A 26,410-nucleotide genomic window follows, 5' to 3' on the forward strand; every position below is an offset into this window, starting at 1 on the left:
AGCTAACTGGCCAGTGCCGGCCAAGATGAGAGATTTTGTTACCTTACTTTTTATTGTCATATTTCATTGTCCAGCAGGAGACTTCACTGCAAAGGCCAGAATGAACATTTCCCAATCCTTGCCCATTAGAACTCAGTGGCAGACCGAGTACACAGGTATTCTCCGCTCCTTCTTGGAGAACCACTAAAATAATAACAAAATGGCCCTAGTTTCCTTTTCTCTGAAATGGGGCTAACAGTAGTAACCTCTCTCCATACTAGCTACTTATTTCATACTGTGTGGCTGAAATAAGTAGATATGGGTAAGGTACTTCAAATGACGCCTGGCATATAGTAAGCATTATGGAGATATTCACTGTGATTGCTCTCTAGTTGATGGAATAAGAAATAAAACTGAAGGCTGGGCATGGTGGCTCACGCCTGTAATCCCAGCACTTTGGGAGGCTGAGGTAGGCCGACCACCTGAGGTCAGGAGTTCGAGACCAGCCTGACCAACATGGAGAAATCCCGTCTCTACTGAAAATACAAAATTAGCCGGGCGTGGTGGCGCACGCCTGTAATCCCAGCTACTTGGGAGGCTGAGGCAGAAGAATAGTTTGAACCCAGGAGGCAGAGGTTGCAGTGAGTCAAGATCACACCATTGCACTCCAGCCTGGGCAACAAGAGCGAAACTCCAACTAAAAAAAAAAAAAATTTACTAAAAATTACAAAGTTAACCAATAAAGAAGAAACTAAATGTAGGACGAGGGAGGGAGGGTGGTGATGCAAGTGAGCTGAGTCCTGCTCTCCATAGCAGGAAGGGGATAAACAGAATGTCTCAGATTGAAGCAACAGCCAGGTACACGTGTAAATTAGAGAGTAATGGTGGATATCAGGCCAGACATGGTGGCTCACGCCTGTGATCCCAGCACTTTGAGAGGCTGAGATGGGCAGATCACCTGAGGTCAGGAGTTTGAGACCAGCTTGGCCAACATGGCGAAACCCCATCTCTACTAAAAATACAAAAGTTAGCCGGGCATGGTGGTGGGTGGCTGTAATCCCAGCTACTGGGGAGGTTGAGGCAGGAGAATTGCTTGAACCTGGGAGGCGAAGGTTGCAGTGAGCTGAGATAGTGCCATTGCACTCCAGCCTGGGTGACAGAGCAAGACTCCATCTCAAAAAAAAAAAAAAAAAAAAGGTGAGTATCCAAAAAAAAAAACAGCTGCAAGAGCTCATGGTAGTAAGACAGGTGACGACACAGAGGGGCTGTGGCAGTGACTGCTGGTTTTTGAGTGTGATCCTGATTTTTTGTTTTTTTTTTACTTTTTCCGCCTTCCTAAAGCAGAACCTTCTGTAGCTCTTTCAGTCTAGCTCTTCTTCAGAATATGGCGAGTCTGAGTCTCTTCTGACCACATAAGACGGGGCGATTCAAAGCGTGCAGCTGGAGTATTTGTATTTTCAAGTTCTTCCCTGATTCAGCTGCAACCTCACTGGTACTTGGGAATCTTTGGTTTAAAAGCCAATTCTAGAGGCTAGTGGAAGGAAAGAATGGAAGAGAGGGAGGAGGTTTTTAAAAAATACACACTCTGTCAAGTTTTAGGTGTGGGGTTTTTGTTTGTTTTATTTGAGACAGGCTGTGCTGCCCAGGCTGAAGTGCAGTGGCTCGATCACAGTTCCCGGACTCAAGTGATCCTCTTCCCTCAGCCTCTCAAGTAGCTTGGACCACAGGCATGTACCACCACACCTGGCTTAGCTGTGATTTTATCCTGTTGCCCAAAGCCTATTCCTTACCATCCTGTCCATTCATAAAATCAAGCAAGAACATTATTGTAGAGCAGAGGTTTTTTCTTTCATCCACAGCCAGGTGAGAGGAGGTAGTTTTGAGTGACATACAAAGCCAACCCAGCCAATCTGCTCACCCTACACTGGCCTTGCAGCCTCAAATGCAAAAGCAAGAGGCTTCTCAGATTCTCCAGCAGACAGCTCAGCAGGGGAGCTCAGCAGCCCATGCAGGAAGGTAGGTGCCAAACACCACTCAGGGAGGTCAGGAGCCACCACAGCCCAGCTCCAGGACTTGGGAAGAGAAGGCAGAGACAGCTGGGAGCTCTGGCCACTTACTATTTGGGGGCCCCACAGCAGGCCAGGAGCTTTAGAGTATTGCAGATGACATCCATGAAAAGAGAAAGCAGCTGCCATGCAGCCTGTGTCACCTTAGAGGAGTCAGACTGGTCAGTTTATCCTCCTTGAACCTGCCACTTAGAACCGCAAGGTTCTGGGAGTGGAGGAGGCTCTCACCATGACTGCCTAGGATGTGTTCAAAATCCCCACCCCACTGTCAGGGAGCAAACTTTGTTACTCTCCCAGCCCCAGAAAAATACATCCAGGCCATCCAGGCATCTCCTGCACCTGGGTTATTTACTACCCAAACCTCACCCTGAAACAGCTAAGATCAGGTCATGGTTCGGGATGTCGGCCTCTGCCTGGGCTCACCCTGCACTGCACAGGCTTGCTGCCCACAAAGACGCGGTTTATAAGAACAATAGGCACAGGGGTGTCTCAGAGCTACTTGCATACTAGGGCATCCAGGACGAGAACTCCAGCTTTACACTGGATCTAACCCCGGACCCCAAACACACACACTAACCCAGAGCCCAGCCTCTGCAGCCCCTGCCATGTCAGCCAAGCATTTTCAGTTCATTTTCTCCTCGGCAAGCCTGTATTGAATCGCAGGCCTAGAAGTTTTATCCCCGTTTCACAGATTGGCAGGCCAAGACAAGACAAATTCAGTGATTTGCCAAGGGCCAGAGAAGGGAGTCCAAGTCTGCAAGCTTGCAAGGTCGCGTTCATGAGAACTTTCATCCTCCTGGGACCCGGCGGCAGGCACATGGGCCTGGATAGTTACTGAGAAAATTCTTTCAGAAGGGCTTTCGGGGACGTGAAGTCACCCCTGGCTTCCCGGGATTCTGGGTTGGGAGCAGCCGCGCAGGGGCGGTGAAGCCAGGGGCCAGGGCGGTCCGTGCTGCGGGCGGCTCCCCAAGGCCCGGTGCGCTGGGCTACCCGCCCGCTGGCCATGGACTTGCCGCCTGCAGCGCACATGGCTGGGGAGGAAGAGCCGTGGATTTCAGTCTGTACACCCAGACGACTAAGAAGCTGCCGCCCGCTAGCGGGGAGGGGACTCGGCCGGGAGGTGGCCCCCGCAGCCCGGCGCCGCCGCGCGTCCCATCCTCGAGGCCACCGTCGCTCACCGAACATCTGGCACGTGCCATTGGTGCTGGGGTGCTGCGTGAGCGGGCCCTGCCTTCGGGAAGTTTCCATTGGGGAGGAGGCGATCGATCAGACCACAGCAAACGAGCAAGATGACCACAGTGGCCCATGGAGGGGGAATAGGAGCTGTGTGGCGTAGAAACAAGGAAAGCCTCCCGCCCGGTGTGCACGGGGAGCTAGAAAGTGTGACCAGAGTGTTCGGGGCAGGGACAAAACCCAGCTTCTGGTGTCTTCTGCAAGGGGAAGAAGCCTTGCGGTGGGAGCCAGGGGAATCCCCGCGAAGAGGCGGCCCCGCACCTATCCCGGGGCTGGGACGAAGGGTTTGGCTTCTCTAAACGCAGCGGGAAGCTTTAAGCCAGAGCCACACAGAGCATCCCTGTCGCAGGAGAGTGCCCGGGGGTCCCAGGAGGGCGAAAGCACCTTTGGGGCCGAGACACTTCTGCTCCCATCACCCCCGCCCCAGCAGGGCGCCCCTGTGCGGGGAACAGCCAGCAATCAGGGACAGCGCCCCAGGCCCCGCTGCGCCAGCACTGGCAGGAGGGACGCATGGAGGCCGGACGGAACTGGGGAGGGGGTGCTGGCCAGGGTGGGCTCAGGCCCTCCCCACTAAGGCCAGCTCGGCCCAGGGCCTCCCTGCGCAGCCCAGCGCGCCTTGTCGGAGAGGCTCCTAGGACCGGAGGGGAAGCCGCTCTGAACCGGAATGATCTGGTTTGGAGCGGGTTGGCTCCCTCCCTGCTCCCCCGCCCACTGCTCTCCCTCTCCTCCAGCGACGGGCTGGTTTTTGCCGCAGTCCCTGACCAAGGTAAACAGGAGGGAAGAGGAAAGAAGGCTGTTTCCATGGCAACCCAGGGGATAGGCGCTGTGGCTCTCCGGGATATGCGGGGGTGACTTCAGGGAGAAGAAAAGGCTCCCCGGAAAAGCCACAGGGAGGAAGGACCCTCCCATGCACACGGTGGGGTGCGTTCAGAAGTGGGGGGATGGAGGGAAAAGGAGAGGGGTCAGGCACCCTCGGTGAAGTGGAGAATTGAGCAGGGGCCTGGGGACACAGAGACACATAAGGGCCAGGGGTCATACCGAAAATGCAAGCACACAGGCTCTTCTGGCCACTCAACCCAGGGAGCAGAAAACAGAGGTGCCAGAGCTCTCAGAGATTCCGAAATCCACACCTCTCTGGTCCTTTCCAGAAAACCCTTCCAGGGGGCAGCTCAGCCTGGGGACAACCACAGAAGTGGGACCTGGGCCCAAAGACAGGTGTCACCTGAAACAGGCCACTGTTGTCCGCCTGCAGTATGCTGGGAGGACCAGCTCCCGCTCCACCCTGCTCCCCCTGGGAGGAAGGCTGACCCCTGCGTGGGAGTGTGACTGCTGGAAAGGCATCCTTGCTGCAGCTGTGAGTGTGATGGGACAGCAGAGTCACTCCTGCATGGGATTCTAGGGCTGGGGGTCCCAGAGGGGTGGCCTCCGCCCCTCCTGGGGGCCGAGGACTGTCACCATGTCACTACGGCACTCTCCAGCTGCTGACCAAAGCCCTCGCTAACCGCAGCCCTGCCATACTCTGGGTCTTTCCTCTGGAGCAAGGTGAAGAGACTGCAGCGAGGCGTGGAATTGGGAAGCTCTTCTGGTTTTATTAAAAACTCGTTCCACCACAGGAGTCAGCCTGGCCACTCAGGTGTGGGGCGGGTCTCTCCTCATTTAGCTTTCACCTGCGTGCCCAGGGATAGGAGAAAAACGGCACAGAGGGAGGTTGTAGGGAGTAAGCATCCTGCCCTGGCAAAGCTGAGTGAACGTGGGTAGCTTCAGCCCAGTGAAGCAGCAGCAGGGACGCCTGTGGAAACCTGGGTGGAGGTGCCTTCTGACCTTGGTTTGTCTGGGCCAGGGGGCGAATGCTTCTGGCAGTGGAGCTTCCAGGCCCGGAAAACCCAGGCCTCTTCTCCTCACGTGGGCCCTCAGGTGCTTGTGGACTGCCCGGAGACAGAACAGAACTGAGGGTGGGAGGGCCTGCTTTTGCCTGCAGAACACCCTGAAATGTCCCATTTACCCAGCTCTCTCCAGGGCCCGCACAGTCCAAACTTCTCTGGCCTCAACTCCTACCACTGTGCCTTTGCTCACTCTCGACCAGCCACGGTGGCTTCCTTGCTGCTCCTTGAGCGGTCAAGCGTGCTCCCTCTTTCTGGAGGTCTCCTCCTCCAGTATCCACATGGCTGTGTGCCTGGCCTCCTTCAGTTTTTTAATGTGGTCTTCTCAATGAGGCAGAGCCAGGGCTAGGGTGAGGCGAGTGAGGCAGCAAGGGCTTTCCTGCCCTCTCTGGTTAAAACTGTATAGTCTTCCCCTCTGCTCAGGACTCTCCACTCCCTGTCCTCTTCCCAAAGAATGGAACACCATCTTGTTTAGTACACACCTTGTTTATTGCCAGACTTTCTCCATTGGAATGGAAGTGCCATGAGGACTGGAAACGTCTCTGCCTTGTTCTTGTTCTGTCTGTATTCTTTAGAGCCTAGCACATAGTAGATGCTCAGTGTACGCTGTCAGATGGAGGGGTGGATGGGGGGATAAATGGGGCCATGGGGTCAGTAGGCTGTGTCCTTCCCCAGTTCCCCTTCCAACAAGTGGGAAGTGTGCTGCGGCCTTAGAAGAGGCTGGCAGAGTGGCATAACACACTCCTGGTGAAGCACACGATGTGAGGCACAGAGGTTACAACTAAAAAGAAAAACAGACTGGCCTTAAAAAGATAACGAAGGTGGATGCTGTTACTGCCACCAGGCCCGTAGCCCCAGCCAGGCTTTAAGAGTCCTTCCACATCGACCAGGTGAGGTGGCTCATGCCTGTAATCCCAGCACTTTGGGAGGCCAAGGTGGGCGGATCACTGGAGGTCAGGAGTTCAAGACCAGCCTGGCCAACATGACAAAACCCTATCTCTATCAAAACTACAAAAAAAAAAATAGCCAGGCGTGGTGGCACTTGCCTGTAATTCCAGCTACTTGGGAGGCTAAGGCAGGAGAATCACTTGAACCCGGGATGTGGAGGTTGCAGTGAGCTGAGATCGGGCCACTGCACTTCAGACTGGGTGACAGAGTGGGTGACAAATAGAAAAAAAAAAAAAGAGTCCTTCTACATGACAACTGCTAGCACAATTGGAGAAATTAAATTCATCCTGAGGCCAAGACTCTGCCCGCTAGGAAAAGCAGGGTGGAGGGCAATAGCCCAGGTGTGCTCCCTGCCCCTACCCCACACCAAAGACTTTTGGGGATTGTGCAGGGGCAGTGGCAATGAGGCAGCTCTCTGTGGGTTCAGCCCAAGTGGGATGTGCTGGAGGCCTCCACCACTACCGATGGGCTCAGCCTGGCAGCGCACTGGGAGGGGTTGGGGGAGAGGAAAGAGGGGAGAAGACCCTCTTAGAACCACACTAGCCCTTCTCTCAGACAGGCAGCCCTGACACCTGCACCGGGGGCTCCATGCTCCTGTCTGCTTCCTGTTCCTCGCTGTGTGTAACCAGCAACAACAGGTTTCAAAGTCCATCCATTGAAACCCCCACTTGCAAAGGGAGTCACCTTCAATTTCCTGCCCGCCTGCCTCTTTCCTGATTCACCTGATAAATTCAGGACAGCTTTTATTGCTTTTGGCGAAAAACTGCCATTAAGATTTACAGAGCTGAAAGCTGGTACAATGTAATCTTCAGAGTAATTTACGCAGTGAGTTTCAAAAGATGAAAAGTTAGCATTTCAGAGGTAATTTCATAAAAAGGATTATCAGATTAATCACTGTGTCAATTTAATAGCGGTGTCTCAAATAATTAATTTGCTTTCTTGAAGTCAGCAATGCAAGAAAGGACTCTAAAAGGAATACAAATGGCTGTGTCAGACAGTAAGTATGTGTTGGGCAATTGATCTTGAGAGAATTCTTCTTGGAATTACACCGGTGGAATGTCAGGCGTGGGCTCATTGGCACAGAGACAAAACCAGAAAGTGAAAAGCTCTTGGTACACCCAGGTCTCCCGGAGAGCCTTGGGACGTGACTGCTGGGGGCTTGTCTGTACCCACAGAGCGAAAGCTGACCTGCCACGTGTTGAATTGTCCTGTGTCACCTGGAAAATGTGTCTAACCAAGCAAGCCACTGACAGGTTGCTCTAATGGGAGATCCAGGTGTGAATTGCAGCCTGCTTGTGAAATTACCCATGGGTGCTCCGAGGTGGAATATAATCAATGCCTGGGCTGGTTATAAACGCAGCCCTCCCTGTTTCATAGCAACACCACTCCAATCAGCTGCCACATGGCAGGGCAGGGCTGTGTCCTTAGTGGATGCTATGGATTGAATTGTGTCCCTCCCATCCCCCCCAAAAAAATATATGTTGGAATCCTAGCCTACAGAACCTCAGAATGTAACCTTATTTGGAAATAGGGTCTCTACAGAGGTAAATTAAAATGAGGTTCACGCCTATAATCCCCGCACTTTGGGAGGCCAAGGTGGGCGGATCACCTGAGGTCAGGAGTTCGAGACCAACCTGGCCAACATGGCGAAAACCCGTTTGTGCTGAAAATACAATAATTAGCTGGGCGTGGTGGTGTGCGCCTGTAATCCCTGCCACTTGGGAGGGTGAGGCAGGAGAATCGCTTGAACCCAGGAGGCAGAGGTTGCAGTGAGCTGAGATTGTGCCACTGCACTCCAGCCTGGGCAACAGAGCAAGACTCTGTCTCAAAAAAACAAAAACAAAATGAGGTTATTAGAATGGGCCTTAATCTAGTACGACTGGTATCCCTATGAGAAGGGGAAATTTGAACCAAGACACACACACAGAATACCACGTGAAGATGAAGGCAGAGATCTGGCTGACACGTCTGTCTATAAGCTGAGAAATACCAAGGCTTGCCACTAGACCACCAGAACCAGGAGAGAAGCGTGGCAGATTCTCCCTCACAGCCTTCAGAGGAAGCTGACTCTGCTGGCACTTTTACCTCAAAGGCCAGGCCCCAGAACTGTGAAATAATACATCTCTCTTGGTTGAGCCACTCAGTGTGCGATACTTTGTTTTTGTAGCCCTAGGAAACTCACACAGTGGGGCCTCGTGGAAAGAGTCGACTTGAGTGTCTTTGTTCTTAATGTTCCTATGTTTCTCTAAACTTTTTTTATACACAGGCTCGGGGCAGAATGTGAAGATAATGACACACCTCAGTAGGAACAAGCATATTCTCTATGTTACTCACTATTTCTTTTTCTTTCTTTTCTTTCCTTTTTTCTTTTTCTTTCTTTTTTTTTTTCTTTTTTTTTTATTGAGACAGAGTCTTGCTCTGTCACCCAGGATGGAGTGCAGTGGTGCGATCTCGGCTCACTGCAACCTCCCCCTCCTGGGTTCAAGCGATTGTCCTGCCTCAGCCTCCCGTGTAGCTGGGATTACAGGTGCCTGCCACCATGCCTGGCTAATTTTTTTTTCTTCTTCTTTTTTTTTTTTTTTTTTTTTTGTATTTTTAGTATAGACGGGGTTTCACCATGTTGGTCAAGCTGATCTTGAACTCCTGATCTCTGGTAATCTGCCCAAATTGGCCTCCCAAAGTGCAGAGATTACAGACATGAGCCACTGCACCCTGCCCACTATACTTTTTCCTAAAGAACTGAAAGAGGGCACAGTGGCTCACACTCAGCACTTAGGGGAGACATGCTGGTGGATCACTTGAGCCCAGGAGTTCAGAGCCAGCCTGGGTAACATGGCGATACCCCATCTCTATAAAAAAAATACAAAAGAGTTTGCTGGGCCTGGTGGTGCACTCCTATAGTCCCAGCTACTTGGGAGGCTGAGGTGGGAGAATCACTTGAGTCTGAGAGGTCAAGGCTGCAGTGAGCCAAGATCACTCCACTGCACTCCAGCCTGGGTGACATGAGCGAGACCTAAAGAAAAAAGACTCACATTCTTTCTCCTGGGGTTGCTGACCTAAGGCTCTGAGCCTGGAGCTGACAGGAGCCCTGTGACCTCTGCCTGAGGACAGCCTGCCCTAAAGAGAACAAGCCAGCAAAGTAGAGTGGACTCTGGCGACACATGCATACCTGGATCCACACACTTGGCCAGGTGTTTTAGCTGCACAAGCTCTGCAGAAAAGCCTCCTTGGCTTTAAACAATACATGGTTTTGGGTCTCAGCAATTCTGCTTAGAAATGTAATATTCTGGCCCGGTGCGGTGACTCACTCCTGTAATCCCAGCACTTTGGGAGGCTGAGGCAGGCGGATCACTTGAGCCCAGGAGTTCAAGAGCAGCCTGGGCAACATGGCAAAAGCCCATCTCTACAAAAAAAATATAAAAATTAGCTGGGTGCAGTGGTATGCTCCTGTACTCCCAGCTGCTAGGGGGCTGAGGTGGGAGGATTGCTTCAGCCTGGGAGGCAGAGGCTGCGGTGAGCCGAGATGGCGCCACTGCACTTCAGCGTGGGCAGCAGAGTGAAACCCTGTCTCAAAAAAAAGAAAAAAAAAAAAAAAAGAAATATTTTGGTCCTTGCCTTCCTCCTCGCCAAAGAGAAAATCCACACTCAGAAGGTTGTGCTAATCAAGCACAAGGATAAAGTCAGGGTGACCAGGAGAGTGCCAGACCAATGGTAGGTGTTTGATTAGATACCCCAGGGGCCACTGATGCTACATTTAACAGCCTGAAAGGAGCTGTGGTGCCAGCCTCCTGAGTGGCACCACCCACCCGGCTGCCTCCAGCCCTCGCTGCCGTTACAGGGGGCTTTTCCCAGGGTGCTCTTCTCACCCTTCGGGGAGCAGGCTGTCTCCTCAACACCATCTCTTTCCACCAGTTTGGCCTCCGCCATCTTTGTAGTCTGGATTGCTCCCTGGGAGGATGACGGTTAGTCCCTTCAGGAAGGGCACCAGTGTCCAAGAGGCTGATGACCCCTGGGGTCTGTGTGTGACACCCAACCTGTACCCAGGGTGAAGCTTCCGCGGCTGAGGAGCTTCCATGGGAGTCTGAGGCGGGCAGCAGGGTGTAAGGGGAGCCAGCCTAGTTGGCTCAAGGCTGCTAGCAAGCCCTTCAGTGGGGAGATCTACCTCCAACAGCTTCCTCCTCAACAGCCCTCTTGGGGAAGAAGAGCCCAGCTGCTCCCTCGCTGCGCTTCCAAGAGCGGAGCCCAAGCCCCAGCTGTGGTTTCCACTCTGCCGCCCCGTCCAGTCTTCCCGCCTGCCTTGGCCTCTTTTTCACAGGGCCACACCAAATGGGGCAGGGGCCACTCCACCATTGCCAGAGGAGAACGCATGGGAACCTTCCATGGAGGCACTGCCCTCCCGGCTCCAGAAGCCTAGGCTCCCTTGCAGTGGCTCCTTGAAAAAGGGACAGCCAGCACGAGCCACCAAACCTCTCTCCTCTGCTTGAATGTCACCGTGGGCAGTGTGCCTCTTCCCCACCTTTCCACCATAGACTTAGGTTCAGACTCTCCCTGGTGAGAGCAAGGTGGCTCCAGGAAGAAGTGTAAATCATAGACTTGGGCTTGTAGGAAGAATTAGAACTCTTTTTTTGTCTTTTCCACCAGCATAATTTATTTCCTGCTCCCAGACTTCTGCACCTGTCTGCACTGGGGGCCTCCTGTGGTACCTTGACCTGCCAGCCCTTCCTGAAGATGCTGCGTCGTAACGTTTAGCCTGGAATAGGGGACAGAGGGCTGGCTTGGGGCGGCGGCAGTGGGATGCAGGAAGCAAACGGTATTTTAAACCTAAGCTGCTTAGGGGCATAACTCTTCCTCATTTGGAAAGTCTTTTTTTTTTTTCTTTTTAAACTTGGGTCCTCGAATGGTAGAATTGCTCACTCTTCCCTGGGAGGAAAGTCAGGCCCAGATGGTGTTATCCATTTCCCATCCAGTCTGGCAAGATCACAGGAAGGGCCAGCTGGTGGCTTCCTTGTTATTGTTAATTTTTTTTTTTTGAGAAGGAATCTCACTCTGTCGCCAGGCTGCAGTGCAGTGGCACGATCTTAGCTCATTGCAACCTCTGCCTCCTGGGTTCAAGCAATTCTCTTGCCTCAGCCTCCCAAGTAGCTGAAGTTACAGACACGCACCAGTGTGCCTGGCTAATTTTTGTATTTTTAGTAGAGAAGAGATTTCACCATGTTGGCCAGGCTGGTCTTGAACTCCTGACCTCAGGGGATCCACCCGCCTCGGCCTCCCAAAGTGTTGGGATTACAGGCATGAGCCACTGAGCCCGGCCTAATTTTTTTTACCTTCTACTGATTAAAGTTTTGAAATTTCGAGAGGCCAGATGGGAACCAAATAATATGGCCCTTTTGGTTTTCTTTTAATGAGACCAGGTTTGGGAGAGACCTTGGAGAGACCTGAGATGGTGAAGCTGTCTGCTGGGTACCCTGGGACCTATTGCCCAGAGGGCTTGGCAAGCCGTGAGTTCTTTCATCCTCCTTCCTACAGGGAGTATTGCCTCTGTTTTTCCAGAAGATTCTTGTAATGGTTTCTGTAGGACCGTGCACTTCACAGGCTTCAGTTAAAATTGGACTCAGCTTGTGGGTGGAGAGACTAAAGCCTTGTGAAGACGTTTGATCCTGCAAGTCCTCAAAGCCTCCTGCTCCCCCGGGGCGGCCGGGCACATGAATATGGAGAGTGGCATTGAAGATGTGCTGTCTCCTTCCCAGATCCTGCTGCCTGGGGACCAGCAGTGAGGCCCTCTTCCTGCAGAAGGGCACTCTCAGTCTTGCTGGGCTAGAGGAGGAAGCCACGGGGGTGGTGGCTGCAAAGGGCTGGGCACAGAGAGAGACCTGGCAAGGTGACCGGGGGAGGTGACTGGGCTCAGGCTGGCACCTGTCCCACCTCACTGTCAGCCAAGCAGATGGAGAGGTGGGTGCTCTGCCCGTTGCAGCCACCTGCCCTGCGGCCTCTGCTGTGCCCGTTTCTGCTCTGGGTCCGCCAGCAGGAGCTCAGCCCTCATCCTCATGTTCATCTAGTGAGGCGGGGGGAGGCGGTCATCCCAGGCAGGTGTGGGTGCAGAAGAGGCAGCCGCAGGTGTGGGGCCATTGCAGCGAGGGGCCCTGCCCTGTTCCTCCAGGAACTCCCACGGGCTCTTAGAGTCTCTCCAGGTTGTCGCCATTTCACTTCCGCCTGCAGTTGGGCATGGGCTGTGTACGGAACACACATTAGACCCTGGGGAACAAAAAGGAAACAAAAACAGGAAATGTGTCTGCTCTCAAGGATATTATTAAAATGGTGAGAGGCCGGGCATGGTGGCTCACGCCTGTAATCCCAGCACTTTGGGAGGCCGAGGCAGGCGGATCACGAGGTCAGTAGATCGAGACCATCCTGGCTAACACGGTGAAACCTCGTCTCTACTAAAAATATTTTTTAAAAAAATCAGCCGGGCGTGGTGGCAGGCACCTGTAGTCCCAGCTACTTGGGAGGTTGAGGCAGGAGAATGGTGTGAACCCGGGAGGCGGAGCTTGCTGTGAGCTGAGATCGTGCCACTGCACTCCAGCCTGGGAGACGGCGCGAGACTCCATCTCAAAATAATAATAATAAAAATAAAATAAAATAAAATAAAATAAAATGGTGAGAAAACACAAATCTACCCACGAAATGGCCTGAGAACAAAACGCACCCAGTGGCCGTGATATTCATGCTACTTAAACCAGAAGGCTTCGAATGGGCACAGTGCAGTGAGGCTGAGGGGGCTAATCAGAGGAGATATTAAATGTTCAAGAACACTAGCATGCAAGAACAACTGTGACCCAGGGAGATGTTTGCTACCAAGTACACTGTGGGGCCCCACCACCCCAGAAAGGCGCATCAGCAGGTACTAAGGAAGACCGGGCCATGGCTCCCCGAGGTCGCGCTGTGTGAACTCACCAGGTGCAGTTACCGGGAAAGCTTGTTAAAAAGGGCAGGTTAGGAGGCCCCAGGCCTACAGGTTCTGATTCAGTAAATCAGCGTGGGCCCAGACCTGCATTTTAAGGAAGGGCCACAGGTGGCCGTGCTGTAGGAGGGGCCGAAACCACACTTTTTTTTTTTTTTTTGAGTCTCGCTCTGTCGCCCAGGCTGGAGTGCAGTGGTGTGATCTCGGCTCACTGCAGCCTCTGCTTCCTGGTTTCAAGTGATTCTCCTCTCTCAGCCTCCCTAGTAGCTGGGATTATAGGCGCACGCCACCACACCGGACTAATTTTTGTATTTTTTTTTTTTTTTTTTGAGACGGAGGGAGTCTCGCTCTGTCACCCAGGCTGGAGTGTAGTGGCGCGATCTCAGCTCACTACAAGCTCCGCCTCCTGGGTTCAGCCATTCTCCTGCCTCAGCCTCTCCGAGTAGCTGGGACTACAGGCGCCCACCACCACGCCCTGCTAATTTTTTAAAATATTTTTTTAGAGACGAGGTTTCGCTGTGGTCTCGATCTCCTGACCTCGTAATCCGCCCGCCTCGGCCTCCCAAAGTGCTGGGATTACAAGCGTGAGCCACTGAGCCCAGCCTAATTTTTGTATTTTTAGTAGAGACGGGGTTTCACCATGTTGGCCAGGCTGGTCTCGAACTCCTGACCTCAGGTGATCTGCCCACCTCGGCATCCCAAAGTGGTGGGATTATAGGCGAGAGCCACCGCGCCCGGCCTCAAAACCACACTTCTAAGAAAATTGCTCTTAGTTGTTCTTAGGAAGGCACCAAGGCCCTTCCCTGCAGCAGCCCTAGGAAGTACTGTACATCAGGTTTCCCTTAGGGAACTCTGCTCCAGGGCAGTGCAGGCACAAGCCGCATTGCGTCATATCACACAAACACGCCACAGGCCACACAAACCACATCACACATGCCACAAGCCACACATACCACATCAGACACACACACGCCACAGGCCACACACACATCACACACACACACACCACAGGCCACACATCACACAAACACATCACACCACAAACCACACACACATCACACACACACCACATCACACACACCACAGACCACACACACATCACACACAAGCCACACACACATCACACACCACATCACACACACACCACAAGCCACACACACATCTCACACACACATCACATACACACCACAGACCACAAACCACACACAAGCCACACACACATCACACACACACATCACACACACCACAAGCCACACACACCTCACACACACATCACACACACACCACAGACCACAAACCACACACAAGCCACACACACATTACACACACAAGCCACACACACAAGCCACACATACCACAAGCCACACATACAAGCCACACATGCCACATCATACACACATCACAAGCCACATACACCACAGACCACAAACCACACACAAGCCACACACACATCACAAACACACACCATAAGCCACATACACCACATCACACAAACACACACACCACAGGCCACACACACCACAAATAAAAAACCACACACTACAAGCCACACATACAAGCCACACACACATCACACACCACAAGCCACCCACATCACAGAAACACACACCAGAAACAACATACCACATCACACACACCACAAGCCGCACACACATCACACACACACACACACTGCAAGCCACACAAACATACCACAAAACACACACCACACAAATACACATCACACACCGCAAGCCACACACACTGCAGACCACACACACACACACAAGCCACAGATACATACCACAAACCACACACACCACACATCACACAAACACCACCCAACACTCACCCATACAACCTGCTAACCCCCACACACCATATACCACGCATACACATTGGAGCTACACATACCACATACACCACAAACCAGAAACACACACACACCATATACACAGCCCCATACATGTATTGCACACACCATATGCACCACACAAATACACCCTCACACCCCTCTACACACCCCACACCTACACAAACCACATACACCACAAACCACATACACCCCACACAAACATACGCACCATGCACCACACACCACACCCTCACACTGCAACCACATTCCCCAGATACACCAGAGGCCCATGGCCCCCTGCCCTGCGTGGGAGTCTGTGACGGGGACTTAGGAACTGTGACTCCAGGCAGGGCACGTTTGCCACGCACGCAGGCAGGCAGCACGGGCAGGAGCAGACAGTGGCTCACTCAGCCCGTTTTCGCCTTTGGAGACAAACTGCGTCCCTGCCTCCTGAGGGCTGTGCTGTGCGGAGGAGCAGAGGCCCCTGGTTACGGCCCCCTGACTCAGAGCCGGGGATTTTTGATCTCTTTTTGCAGACGGAGAACACGGATGCAGGGAAGAAAAGAGTTCAGCCAGGGGTGGCAGCCACTGGGCCCCGAGCAGACTCTGCCTGCGGTCCCCACTGGGAGTGGCTCCGGCGGGGAAGGGGCTGGCGCGCTGGCAGCCAGGGTCTTCCTGGGGGGCACTCGGGCAGAGGCCAGGGCCGGGCCAGACCACACGGACTCTTCCCTCCCCACCCCAGCCAGGGCAGAGAAGCTTCTGGCAGGAGAACAGCAAACCTAAGTGACCACCACAGGGGTGTGAACCTCCCCGGCCTCTGGGGCCATGGGGGCAGCCGCGGAGAGGCTGGGCCTGGCGCTGGTACCCGGGGAACCGCCTGGCTCCAAAGAGCAGCTCAGAAAAGTCAGTGGAGCCAGTTCCTGAACAGCCACGGGGACCGGTAGGAGGAAGGAGGAAGGAGAGGCCGTTTTTGACCTTCCTCCCTCTCCCTGCCTGGTCCAGGCGCACAACGGCAGCGGCCCCTGTGGAGGGCAGGGTTTAGGCATAGGGCCCCTTACAGGCCTGCGGGTCTCCCTCAGCTCCAGGGAGGCGCCGGCCTCGGCCTGCCGTCTTCTCACGGGTCCCAGGCCCTCTCTCTGCCCACGGCCACCCTGCCTCCCTCCACCTGAGCCCTGTCAGGCCCTCTCTCCAGAGCTCAGGGAGATGCTGTGGGGGAGGAAGGAGAGTGGCAGTCAGTTCTGCAAAGCATCTTCTAGAAAGGGGCCACAGAGTCCACCGATCAAGGGCTGTGGGCACCCAGGCACTATGGGCTGAGGGTCCCTGGCCGCTTGGCAAACACCTCACAGCTCTCGAGCCCACGGGAGCAGGTGAGAAACAGTTGCGTTTCTTTTGCCCACAACTCCCCATGTTACAGGAAACTAGTGATCATCGGCCTCCGTGTCCTCAGTGAGGCAGGGACAGCTGTGTTGGTGTGGCCCTGGAGCCTTTGGGGAGACCGTAGCAGGGCCACACTGCTTCAAGGTGAGACAGAAAAAGGTGCCTTCTCACACCTGGGCTTCCAGGTTCTAATGCATACACATGAGAGCTACACATACCACATACACCACAAACCCAGGGTGTGGGTTTGGCCTGGGCTGTGTGCTCCACCTGGGGGCTGTCCCAGGCCGGGGCAGTGCTGCCAGGGTGTGAAGGGGACACGGTGCCCAACTGCTTCTGCTTTGCTCACAGCTCTCAGCACCTCAGGAGCCAGAACCCCTCAGGGTGTGGTGGGGACAGCAGGGGGGTGGCGGGCAGGGGTGTGGTGGGTGGTGGGGAGGGCCAGGCCTGGTCAGAAGCCAGGAGGCGAGCCAGGCCCGAGGCTGACACAAGCCGGCTCTGGGCTCCAGCCAGGAGCAGGTGGCCATGAGAAGCCAGGCTCCCTGCCCCTCCTCGGGAGGCCCCGCAGGAGCCCTGGCACCTTTCCAAGTGCCAGCTGCGCAGCCTGGCCCAGAGTCCGGGCCCAGGAGGGCCCGCAGTGCCTGCAGCTGCCTGGGGACCACATGCGTGACTGGCTGGCCCCCTGCTCATCCCGCCTCTCTCCTCCGCCTGGCTTCGCGCCGCCTGCCTGCCCTCGGGGACAAGCGTGCCCATCTGACACCTCAGCGCCTGCCCATTCCCCGGGACCAGGCCATCTGGCCTCGCTGCTGCCTCTGCTCTGTGCAACCCCCATGCCGCAGCCCGTCGCCTCCTGCTCCAGCCTCCGCCAGGACTGTCCTGTGCGCCCATCAGGGTGTCCTTGGTACCTGGCTGGCAGGCTGTGCCCAGCCAGGAAGTCCTCCTGTAAGCTCTGCATGCATCTCGGTGCCAAGGGGCACAGCCCTCAGCACGGAGGTGGCCGTGGAGGGGATTATCAGAGTGCAGGGGCCCAGCTCTCCCTTGTCAGGCCACTGTCAGGCCTTCCTGTGACCCTCCCAATGGCGTGACCTCTTGTCTCCGCTTTGACCAGAGGCTGGAAGAGTCTGACCCAAGCAGGCAACAGGAGGTGCAGGGAGGGTTAGAGGAGCCAGCCTGGGGGGGAAAGCCAGGAGGAAACAAGCCCCCCAGCAGCGCCGCCAGGGGGCGTCCTCTTGCAGCAGTGTCCTGAGGCCACGCTTCTAGAAAGGCCTCGAACCCCAGCACCAGCAGGGCCTGGGCACTGACAGGCCCACTCTGGGCTTCTGGGCCGTCTGTAAAACAAGACAGTCCAACTGTTTGATCTCCAAGGCCCCTTCTAAGCTTTTCTGAGCTGTGACAAGGACAAAATCTCACCAAAAAACCTGAAGCAGCTGGAAAAGCCAACGCTACTGGCATGGGGTGCTTCATATTGTAAACCACACCTATGTGTGTGATGTGGGGTGGGCCACAGAGGTGTCTTCACAGGCCTGCACCCAGCCTGCATGGGCCCTTAGGAGGGCTCTGTGCTGGGTGTAATGCCCTGCTGTGGCTGTCTTGAAATTCTTGAACAGAGGGCCCCACGTTTTCATTTTGCTCTGGTTCTCTCGCAAATTATGTAGTTGGCGCTGGCTAAAAATACTTGGAATGTTGTTCCAGAAGCACTGTGGACATGTCTACATTGTTTTTGCTCTGCAGGATTTATTGAACATTTCATTTCCAGTGCCTGGGGAAGGGACAGAAGATGAATCAATTGGCTGGGCGCGGTGGCTCACGCCTGTAATCCCAGCACTTTGGGAGGTCGAGGTGGGCGGATCATGAGGTCAGGAGTTTGAGACCAGCCTGACCAACATAGTGAAATCTCGTCTCTACTAAAAATACAAAAATTAGCTGGGCATGGTGGCGTGTGCCTGTAGTCCCAGCTGCTTGGGAGGCTGAGGCAGGAGAATCGCTTGAACCCAGGAGGCAGAGGTTGTAGTGAGCTGAGATCGCTCTACTGCAGTCCAGCCTGGGAAACAGAGCGAGACTCTGTCTCAAAAAAAAAAAAAAAAAGATGAACCACTTAAGGAAGCGCTTGGTGAGAGTAAGAGGTTTCAAGGGAACTGATGAGTCCTCCATCCGCAGCAGTGACCGTCCCCAGAGTCAGGTGTAGCCAAGGCTCTGTGGGCTTATTTAGACATCTCCTGTGGGGTTGGACTGCTGCTTTTGATTCATAGCCATCCTCTTCTTCCTTTGTGTTAGATTCTTAGCTGAACATGGCCACAGAGAACCAAAATTACTTTGCCCAGGTTCCCTTGCAGCTATAAGTGTTCACGTGAACAAGTGCTGGCCACACGGGATGTACGTGGAAGCATCTGCCACCACTCAGGAACCTTCCTTCAGAAAGAGCTGGTGTGGGCCTGGCGCGGTGGCTCACACCCATAGTCCCAACATTTTGGGAGGCTGAGGCAGGAGGATTATTTGAGCCTGGGAGTTCAAGACCAGCCTGGGCAATAAAGCAAGAACCCCATCTTTACAAAAAATACAAAAATTAGCTGGACATGGTGGCATGTGCCTGTGGTCCCATCTACTCCAGAGGCTGAGGCAGGAGCATCACCTGAGCTCAGGAGGTTGAGGTTTGCAGTGAGCCGTGATTGTGCCACAGCACTCCAGCCTGGGTGACAGAATGAGACCTTGTCTCAAAAAACAAAACAAAATAAATAAAATTTAAATTTAATTAATTTTTTTTGAGATGGAATTTCGCTCTTGTTGCCCAGGAGGAGTGCAATGGCGTGATCTCGGCTCACTGCAACCTCCACCTCTGGGGTTCAAGCAATTCTCATGCCTCAGCCTCCTGAGTAGCTGGGACTACAGGTGCACGCCACCATGCCCGGCTAATTTTTGTATTTTTAGTAGAGACGGCGTTTCACCATGTCGGCCAGGCTGGTCCTGAACTCCTGACTTCGGGCGATCCACCTGCATGGGCCTCCCAAAGTATTGGGATTACAGGTGTGAGCCACTGCGCCTGGCCAATTTTTTCTTTTTAAACAAAGAGCTGGTTTGTATCCTTCCTTCTGAGTTGTATTTTTGATCTATAACTTAGCAGGAAAGTTTTAAACCCTTAAGACTAAAGGAGTCGGAAGAACATGTTATTTGTTGTATCAATTCACAGTAGAAATTTTCGTTAAGAGTGAATTGGTTGCTTTTTACTTTTTTGTTTTTTAATCCTGAATATTCTTTTCTTTTTCTTTTTGGGACAGAGTCTTGCTCTGTCACCCAGGCTGGAGTGCAGTGGCACCATCACAGCTCACTGCAGCCTTGACCTCCCAGGCTCAAGTGATCCTCCCACCTCAGCCTCTGTGGTAGCTGGGACTACAGGCACGCACCTCCCCAGCGGGGTCTTCTTGCCATGTTGCCCAGGCTGGTTTCGAATTCCTGGGTGCAAGTGATCCGCCTGCCTCCACCTCCCAAAGTGTTGGGATTGCAGGCCTGGGCCACCGTGCCCAGCCTTCATTCTGAATATTCTTGACATGGTTGCCTTTTAATGTTCAGTTTTTCAAACAGGAAGTTGAGACTAGTGTCCCAACTCTAAAGGTGATGCTCGAGGAGGGGAGCAGGTAATAAGCAAAATCTCAGGTAGGTGCAGAGAAGAACTGAGCAGAGCGAGGGCGGTGGTGTGTGTGACAGGGGCACCATTGTAGGGTGGCAGGAAAGGGCATGAAGGGGTACTTGAGCAGAGACCTTACTGAGGACCGGAAAGGAGACAGCTGAGGGAAAGGCACTCCAGGAAGAGGGGATACGTTCCAGTTCTTCTGCCAAAAGTAGAGCTTTCCTCCTTAAGGTTCAGACTAGCATTTCCAACTCTCTGTTGTTATCTCCATGTGGATGTTCCAAAGCCGCTCAAATGCAACCCGTTTAAAATTTCTCTTCTGCTGCAAACCGGTTCCTCTTCCTCATTGCTCTGTTGCTGGTATTGGTGCCACCCTCTTCCCAGTCACCTAGATACGTGCACTGAGCTCCCAAGTTGTGACCATTTGTCTTCCACAAATGCTCTCCAGTATTTTTTTTTTTTTTTGCCGCCTCTGCAGTCCAGGCCCTGGATGACTGCTGGGGCCTCCTCATGGGTCTTCCCAACTGCTCCAGCTCTGCCCTTCTTCAGAACTGCGGTGGGTCGTCTCCCTTCAGCACTCTTTCAGTTAATGCTGTGCTCAAAAAGCTCCAGAGTCTCTCGGAGTAAAGTCAGAAATCCTGAGTCCAGCACCTGAGGCCCCCTCTTCCTTCCAGTGCTATCTGCCCATGCTCCTCTAAACCCATCTCAGTTTGGATTCTTTGCAGTTTTCTAAAGACATCTCTTCCTTTCCTGTCTTAAGCCTGCTTCTTCCTCCTACTGAAATCCAAATATCACCTTTTTATTTTTATTTTTGAGATGGAGTCTCACTCTGTCACCCAGGCTGGAGTGCAGTGGCGTGATCTCAGCTCACTGCAGCCTCCACCTCCTGGGTTCAACTGATTCTCCTGCCTCAGCCTCCTGAGTAGTTGCGACTACAGGCGTGAGCCACTGTGCCCAGCTAATTTTTTTGTCTTTTTAGTAGAGACGGGATTTCACCTTGTTGGCTGGCCAGGCTGGTTTCAAACTCCTAACTTCAGGCCTCCCAAAGTGCTGGGATTATAGGTGTTTGCCACCACTGCACCTGGCCCAAATGTCACCTTTTTAATGAAGTCTCTCCTGTCAGCTTCCCACCGAGCAGTACTTTCTCTCCCTTTGACCTATACAATTTAATTTGCACCACAATATTTTTTCTGGAGTTTTTCAATTACAAAAGCAATATAACATTGAAAAATACTTCAAAAAAAAAGAAAAGAGAAGAAAACGTAAGGACAATCATGCATATTCCCACTTCAACAAGTGAGTTCACATTTGGATATTCTCTTCTAGTCCTTGGTGATATGCATGCATATTTTTACATAATTGTAATCACAGTAGACATACAACTTTGATTTGTTTTCACTTCTATCCAACATTTCCCCATCTTTCCAAATAGTCTTTTCAGAGCTGCAGAGAGTTTTAAAAAGAGGTCAAAATAAAAATCCTTAAGTGATAACATCTCAAGATCGTATCTCCTAGAGTTTACATATAATTTATTATTATTTTTTGAGACGGAGTTTCACTCTTGTTGTCCAGGCTGGAGTGTAATGGTGCGATCTTGGCTCACTGCAACCTCTGCCTCCTGGGTTCAAGCGATTCTCCTGCCTCAGCTTCCCGAGTAGCTGGGATTAGAGGCGTGCACTACCACACTCGGCTAATTTTTGTATTTTTAGTAGAGATGGGGTTTCACCATATTAGCCAGGCTGGTCTCGAACTCCTGACCTCAGGTGATCCACCCGCCTTGGCCTCCCAAAGTGCTGGGATTACAGGTGTGAGCCACCCTGCCTGGTCTACATAGAATTTATTAAACCATCTTATTACTGGACATTTGGATGGGTTTTATTTTTAGCTATCATAGACTGGAAGCTATTTGAAAGAAAGAAGGATAGATCTTACGTTTTCTTTGTATTCCTAGCATCTGGCAAAATACTTCAATCAGTATTTATTGGATTGACTGGGTGTGGTGGCAGGCGCCTGTAATCCCAGCTATTCCGGAGGCTGAGACACGAGAATCACTTGAACCGAGGAGGCAGAAGTTGTAGTGAGCAGAAATTGTGCCACTGCACTCCAGTCTGGGCAACAGAGCGAGACTCTGTCTCAAAAAAAAAAAATTATTGGATGTATGGGTAAATAAATGAATAAGCACTCACGACGGACACCTTTAGGCATAACTATTTTTTTCTGTTGAATATTTTCCTAAGGTAAATTTTCCTGAGGTCAATGAGACAAAGAGCATTAATTTTTTTTGGCACTGTACATTATGGCAGATTGTATTTTCCAAAAATGGTCACACCAATAAATGTTCCATCTGACGTGCTGTAATGTGGCACATTCCTCCATTGAGTGGTAGGGGTCTGTGTTCCTTCCCCTTGACACTGAGCAGTTCTTTGTAGCTGCCTTGACCAACAGAATGCAGTGAAGAAACATGGTACTTCCAAAGCTAAGTTATAAATAAAAGGCAATATGCTTCTGCCTCTCTCTCTCTCACTTTCTCATGACACTGGCCCTAGGAACTCAGCCACCATGTTATGAGGAAGCCCAGGCCCTGTGTGGAGGCCAAGCGTGGGTGTTCTGCCAGTATCTCCAGTTAGGCTCCTAGTCAGTAGCTAGCATCAACTGCCAGACATGTAAACCTGCAGACATTGTGGAGCTGACAGACAGGAGCTGTCCCCACTGAGTCCTGTCTGAATTTCTGGTCCAGGGAGAGAGGTACTAAATGGTTATTGTGGTTTTGGGGTGCTTTGTTTAAAGAATTCACGCAGACCATTCAACTGGAAGCAGAGTGTCATACGGAATTTAATTTTGAGATGGAAGCCACGTAACACCTTCTCAAACCGCCAGGTTTGCGGCCTGGCAGCTTAGGTTCAGATTTCCGTCTGCCAAGTCTTTCCCGAGTCAGGGGACTCCTCAGGCTGTACCGTGGATGACACTCCTCCCCACTAGGAACACAAGGGGCCTTTCTTCGGAGGTGGAGCTCATTAAGCTGGTGCCTGTATTCTGGGCCAAAACTATCACAGAGCTGCCTGATTCCAGTCTCCACACCATGTGTTTGAGAAAGAATCATGCCTGGCTGCTGCTCCTGAGAAAACAAGTTTTGCCCCCAGTGGAGCTGATCACCACCTTCTAACTTTCCTCCTATGGGATGCAGTGCATGAAAGCAGAGTCTGATTCGGGATTGTTATTTTTTCCTTCAAGTTTAGAAATGGGAAAGGAAGGAGACTGTGTTTTCTTGGTACACCAGAAAGCCCAGCCTTCAGGCTACAAGGGTGCTACTGTCTATGACGGGGCAATGAATGGCCAGGTCTCGGGAAGGGAAGGACAGAGGGAGCAGGAGGCAGACAAAGCTGGGCTAGCACAGTTGGGGTGGGTGGGTGTCAAGGCCTTGAAGATCTGTAGCTCAGTGTGATCCAAGGACGAGACAGTTGCTTTACAGTGCCAAAGGGGCCACTTCCTACTTTTATATGAATTTGCTCTTTTTTCCTTCACCTAAAAGCAGTCCATTCATTATTTTCACTTTGAGCTTCTCAATTACCTCTAGGTATGAAGAGTATCTTATCACTTATTATTTTTTTTAGAGACAGGGTCTCACTATGTTGCCCAGGCTGGTCTCCAACACCTGAGCTCAAGTGATCCTCCTGCCTCAGCCTCCCAAAGTGCTGGGATTACAGGCGTGAACCACCACATCCAGCCCATTTTATTTTATCAGAAATCAGTGTAGGGCTGGGTGCGGTGGCCCATGCTTATAATCGCAGCACGTGGATCGCTTGAGGTTAGGAGTTCGAGACCAGCCTGGCCAACATGGTGAAACCCCATCTCTATTAAAAAATACAAAATTAGCTGGGTGTGGTGGCAGGCATCTGTAATCCCAGCTACTTGGGAGGCTGAGGCATGAGAATTGCTTGAACCTGGGAGGCAGAGGTTGCAGTGAGATGAGATCACACCACTGCGCTCCAGCCTGGGTGACAGAGCGAGACTCCGTCTCAAAAGAAGAAGAAGAAAAAAAATCAGTGTGAGAGACTAGTTGTCCTGCCCCAATTAATGACAGAGCTTAGTCCTCCCACTGAATGCTCAGTGCATTGAGGCCAGTGGCTCTTCTAGCCAGACTGATTTTGAAATACTCATTTTGGTTTGGGGCAGAAAAGGACTTACATACAAATCTCATCCACAGTAGTGCCTGGGACTGTCTGCATGCAAGTTTGCTAAGAAATATCCTCAGGGTCGCTGCTGTCCCCTGCGGGGTGGCAGGGCTGTGGTGCTGTTCTCCACACCCATCCTGCTGTTAGACTCTCCTTCCTAACTCCCACTGAGGTGCCGCCTCTGTAGAATCCATAACCTGTCCCATCCCAGGTCAATGCAGTTCAGTGTGGAAACGTTATTATTGATGAACATCCAGGGATCAAATTATAATGTGGCTCAGAGCTAACGCCTAACAATCCTGCACACCCAGCAGAAAGCTACTGGCATACCCAGTGAGATATGGCAGTGTCACTGGGGTCCAAGAGGCATACGTGCTGATTGTACAAAGCCCTCTCATTCTAACTGGGCAGACAAAGCCTCACATGGGTCCTTCCCTGAAGCCTTCCTGCCAGAGAGCCCAGCCGTGTGCTGCTTATCCTTGAAGACTTTTGACCTCATCCACGGTCTAGGGACAGCTGTGACTAAAGCCACCCAGAAGGACAGGTAGGCCAGCCAGCCCCTCCCGGCCCCCGCCACTGGTCCCTGCAGCATTTGGGGCAATGTTGTGCTGTTGTACATAAGTGCAGTGCCCTCACCCCCAGGTTACTAAGGAAGACCCCCAGAAGCACTGGAATGAGTTTCATCATTTTCCTAACACCTTTACTTTTCAAGCAGTCCCCCTGCTGCGGCTGTCCAGGCCCAGGAGTGCTTCCTCCTTCTTAGGTCTAGCCACAAAAGGAAAGCCAGTGTGCTTGGAGGGATCAAAAGGTGTCCTTTGGAGGAGAACGTGAGGCTTTCCCAAAAGGTAGTTTTAGCCATTGACAAGTATACTTGAACAGCAGCACAGCTCAGACTAGTAAGAAACTCAGTTCTTGTGCAAGGATAAGACAAGACATGAGGACCTACTGTTCGACTAAAAGTCACTTCTGAATCCATTCATGTAGCTGTTGAGTGCCAAAGGAGGGGCACAGATCTAATCACTCAAGGGGAGAAATGACTGCCATCTGGAGTGGTCAGGACTAGCTCCAAATAGAAGGTTTAATTAGAGGAAGTCTCAATGCAGAGGAAGACAGTAGATTGGGAGGGGGCATCTCCAGAGAGTGATCAGGATGAGCAGGAGGTAGCATAGAGAGAACCCAGCAAGCAGTGAGCAGTCTGCACTGGCTGGAGCCAAGGGTTTAGGTGCATGAGGCCAGGTTGGGGCCAGATTGTGTGGAGCTTTAAATGTCAGGCTAAGGAATTTATCAGGGGGATGAAATGATCAAACAGGTGTTCTAGGAAGATGAATTTGAAGAGAATGTGCAGGATGAATTGGAAAATATGGAAGCATGGCAACAATTCGAAGGCTGTGAGATTAATTAGGCTGTTGCAGTAGTCCTGTGTGGGTTGATAAGGGTGTAAATGAGCATAGTGGTGGCAGAAATGGAAGAAGTGCAGCTGCAAGAGACATTGTTAAGAAAGAATGGATGAGGTTTGTTGCCTGATTGGATTGGGGACCCAGGGAGCTCCAGGAATCAAAAGATGACACCAGAATTTTGAGCATCGGTAACTGGTAGTACAATGAACAGAAAAAGGGATGTAAGTAGAGGGAGCTGATTTGAGCAGATGTGAACGCAGTTCCAGACACGGAGTTCACAGAATATCCAAGCGGAAATGTCTGACAGGTAGATGGAAATCAACACTACAGCTCAGGAGAAACATTATGCTTGAAGATGAATTCGGGAGTCAAAGGCAGAGAGGTGATAAATGAAGTGGAATGAATGAGATCTCTAAGGAAAAGCATATACAGTGAATCAGAGGACCAAAGACTGACCTTTGAGGAATGTGTGCATTTCAATGTGCGCATTTCTATTACAAAGCTGTCTAGAAAGGGCTGGGTGTGGTGGCTCATGCCTGTAATCCCAGCACTTTGGGAGGCCGAGATGGGCGGATCATGAGGTCAGGAGTTCAAGACCAGCCTGGCCAACGTGGTGAAACCCCATCTCTACTAAAAATACAAAAATTTGCCGGGCGTGGTGGCGGGTGCCTGAATCCCAGCTACTCGGGAGGCTGAAGCAGGAGAATCGCTTGAAACCGGAAGGCAGAGGTTGCAGTGAGCTGAGTGTAGTGAGCTGAGATCATGCCACTGCACTCCAGCCTGGGCAATAACAGTGAAACTCCATCTCAAAAAAAAAAAAAAAAAAAAAAAAAAAAAAAAAGTGCCACCCCACATGCTGCGTGTCTTTACTGTTAAAATATAAAATATCAGTGTCAAGTATATTTTAGTTTGAGAAAGAAAGCCACACAACGTAACATTTGTAT

The 26,410-nt window shown here is 52.0% G+C and overlaps 1 long non-coding RNA gene across 2 annotated transcripts, besides 7 other annotated features; it reads left to right on the plus strand.

Annotated features, from left to right (window-relative positions):
- Positions 3,237-3,900: an enhancer, noted in NCBI's record as "H3K27ac-H3K4me1 hESC enhancer chr7:129780805-129781468 (GRCh37/hg19 assembly coordinates)". NCBI's record gives its function as "activates a minimal SCP1, AML or CMV promoter by ChIP-STARR-seq in naive H9 embryonic stem cells {active_cell/tissue: H9 hESC(naive)}" and the evidence as "EXISTENCE:reporter gene assay evidence [ECO:0000049][PMID:30033119]".
- Positions 3,313-3,392: an enhancer, noted in NCBI's record as "active region_26646". NCBI's record gives its function as "activates an Ori minimal core promoter by ATAC-STARR-seq in GM12878 lymphoblastoid cells {active_cell/tissue: GM12878}" and the evidence as "EXISTENCE:reporter gene assay evidence [ECO:0000049][PMID:35858748]".
- Positions 3,573-3,712: an enhancer, noted in NCBI's record as "active region_26647". NCBI's record gives its function as "activates an Ori minimal core promoter by ATAC-STARR-seq in GM12878 lymphoblastoid cells {active_cell/tissue: GM12878}" and the evidence as "EXISTENCE:reporter gene assay evidence [ECO:0000049][PMID:35858748]".
- Positions 3,901-4,564: an enhancer, noted in NCBI's record as "H3K4me1 hESC enhancer chr7:129781469-129782132 (GRCh37/hg19 assembly coordinates)". NCBI's record gives its function as "activates a minimal SCP1, AML or CMV promoter by ChIP-STARR-seq in naive and primed H9 embryonic stem cells {active_cell/tissue: H9 hESC(naive and primed)}" and the evidence as "EXISTENCE:reporter gene assay evidence [ECO:0000049][PMID:30033119]".
- On the plus strand, positions 4,003-4,890 carry LINC03008 (long intergenic non-protein coding RNA 3008). Of its 2 annotated transcripts, none has more exons than NR_149033.1 (2): positions 4,003-4,044; positions 4,427-4,890. It is a non-coding gene; the product is annotated as a long intergenic non-protein coding RNA 3008 (long non-coding RNA). The 2 variants fall into 2 exon arrangements; NR_149034.1 differs by having other exon boundaries at positions 4,531-4,890.
- Positions 11,786-11,835: an enhancer, noted in NCBI's record as "active region_26648". NCBI's record gives its function as "activates an Ori minimal core promoter by ATAC-STARR-seq in GM12878 lymphoblastoid cells {active_cell/tissue: GM12878}" and the evidence as "EXISTENCE:reporter gene assay evidence [ECO:0000049][PMID:35858748]".
- Positions 13,298-13,367: a silencer, noted in NCBI's record as "silent region_18643". NCBI's record gives its function as "represses an Ori minimal core promoter by ATAC-STARR-seq in GM12878 lymphoblastoid cells {active_cell/tissue: GM12878}" and the evidence as "EXISTENCE:reporter gene assay evidence [ECO:0000049][PMID:35858748]".
- Positions 16,484-16,613: a silencer, noted in NCBI's record as "silent region_18644". NCBI's record gives its function as "represses an Ori minimal core promoter by ATAC-STARR-seq in GM12878 lymphoblastoid cells {active_cell/tissue: GM12878}" and the evidence as "EXISTENCE:reporter gene assay evidence [ECO:0000049][PMID:35858748]".

This window comes from Homo sapiens, chromosome 7 (genome assembly GCF_000001405.40).
Source record: "Homo sapiens chromosome 7, GRCh38.p14 Primary Assembly".
NCBI lineage: Eukaryota > Metazoa > Chordata > Mammalia > Primates > Hominidae > Homo > Homo sapiens.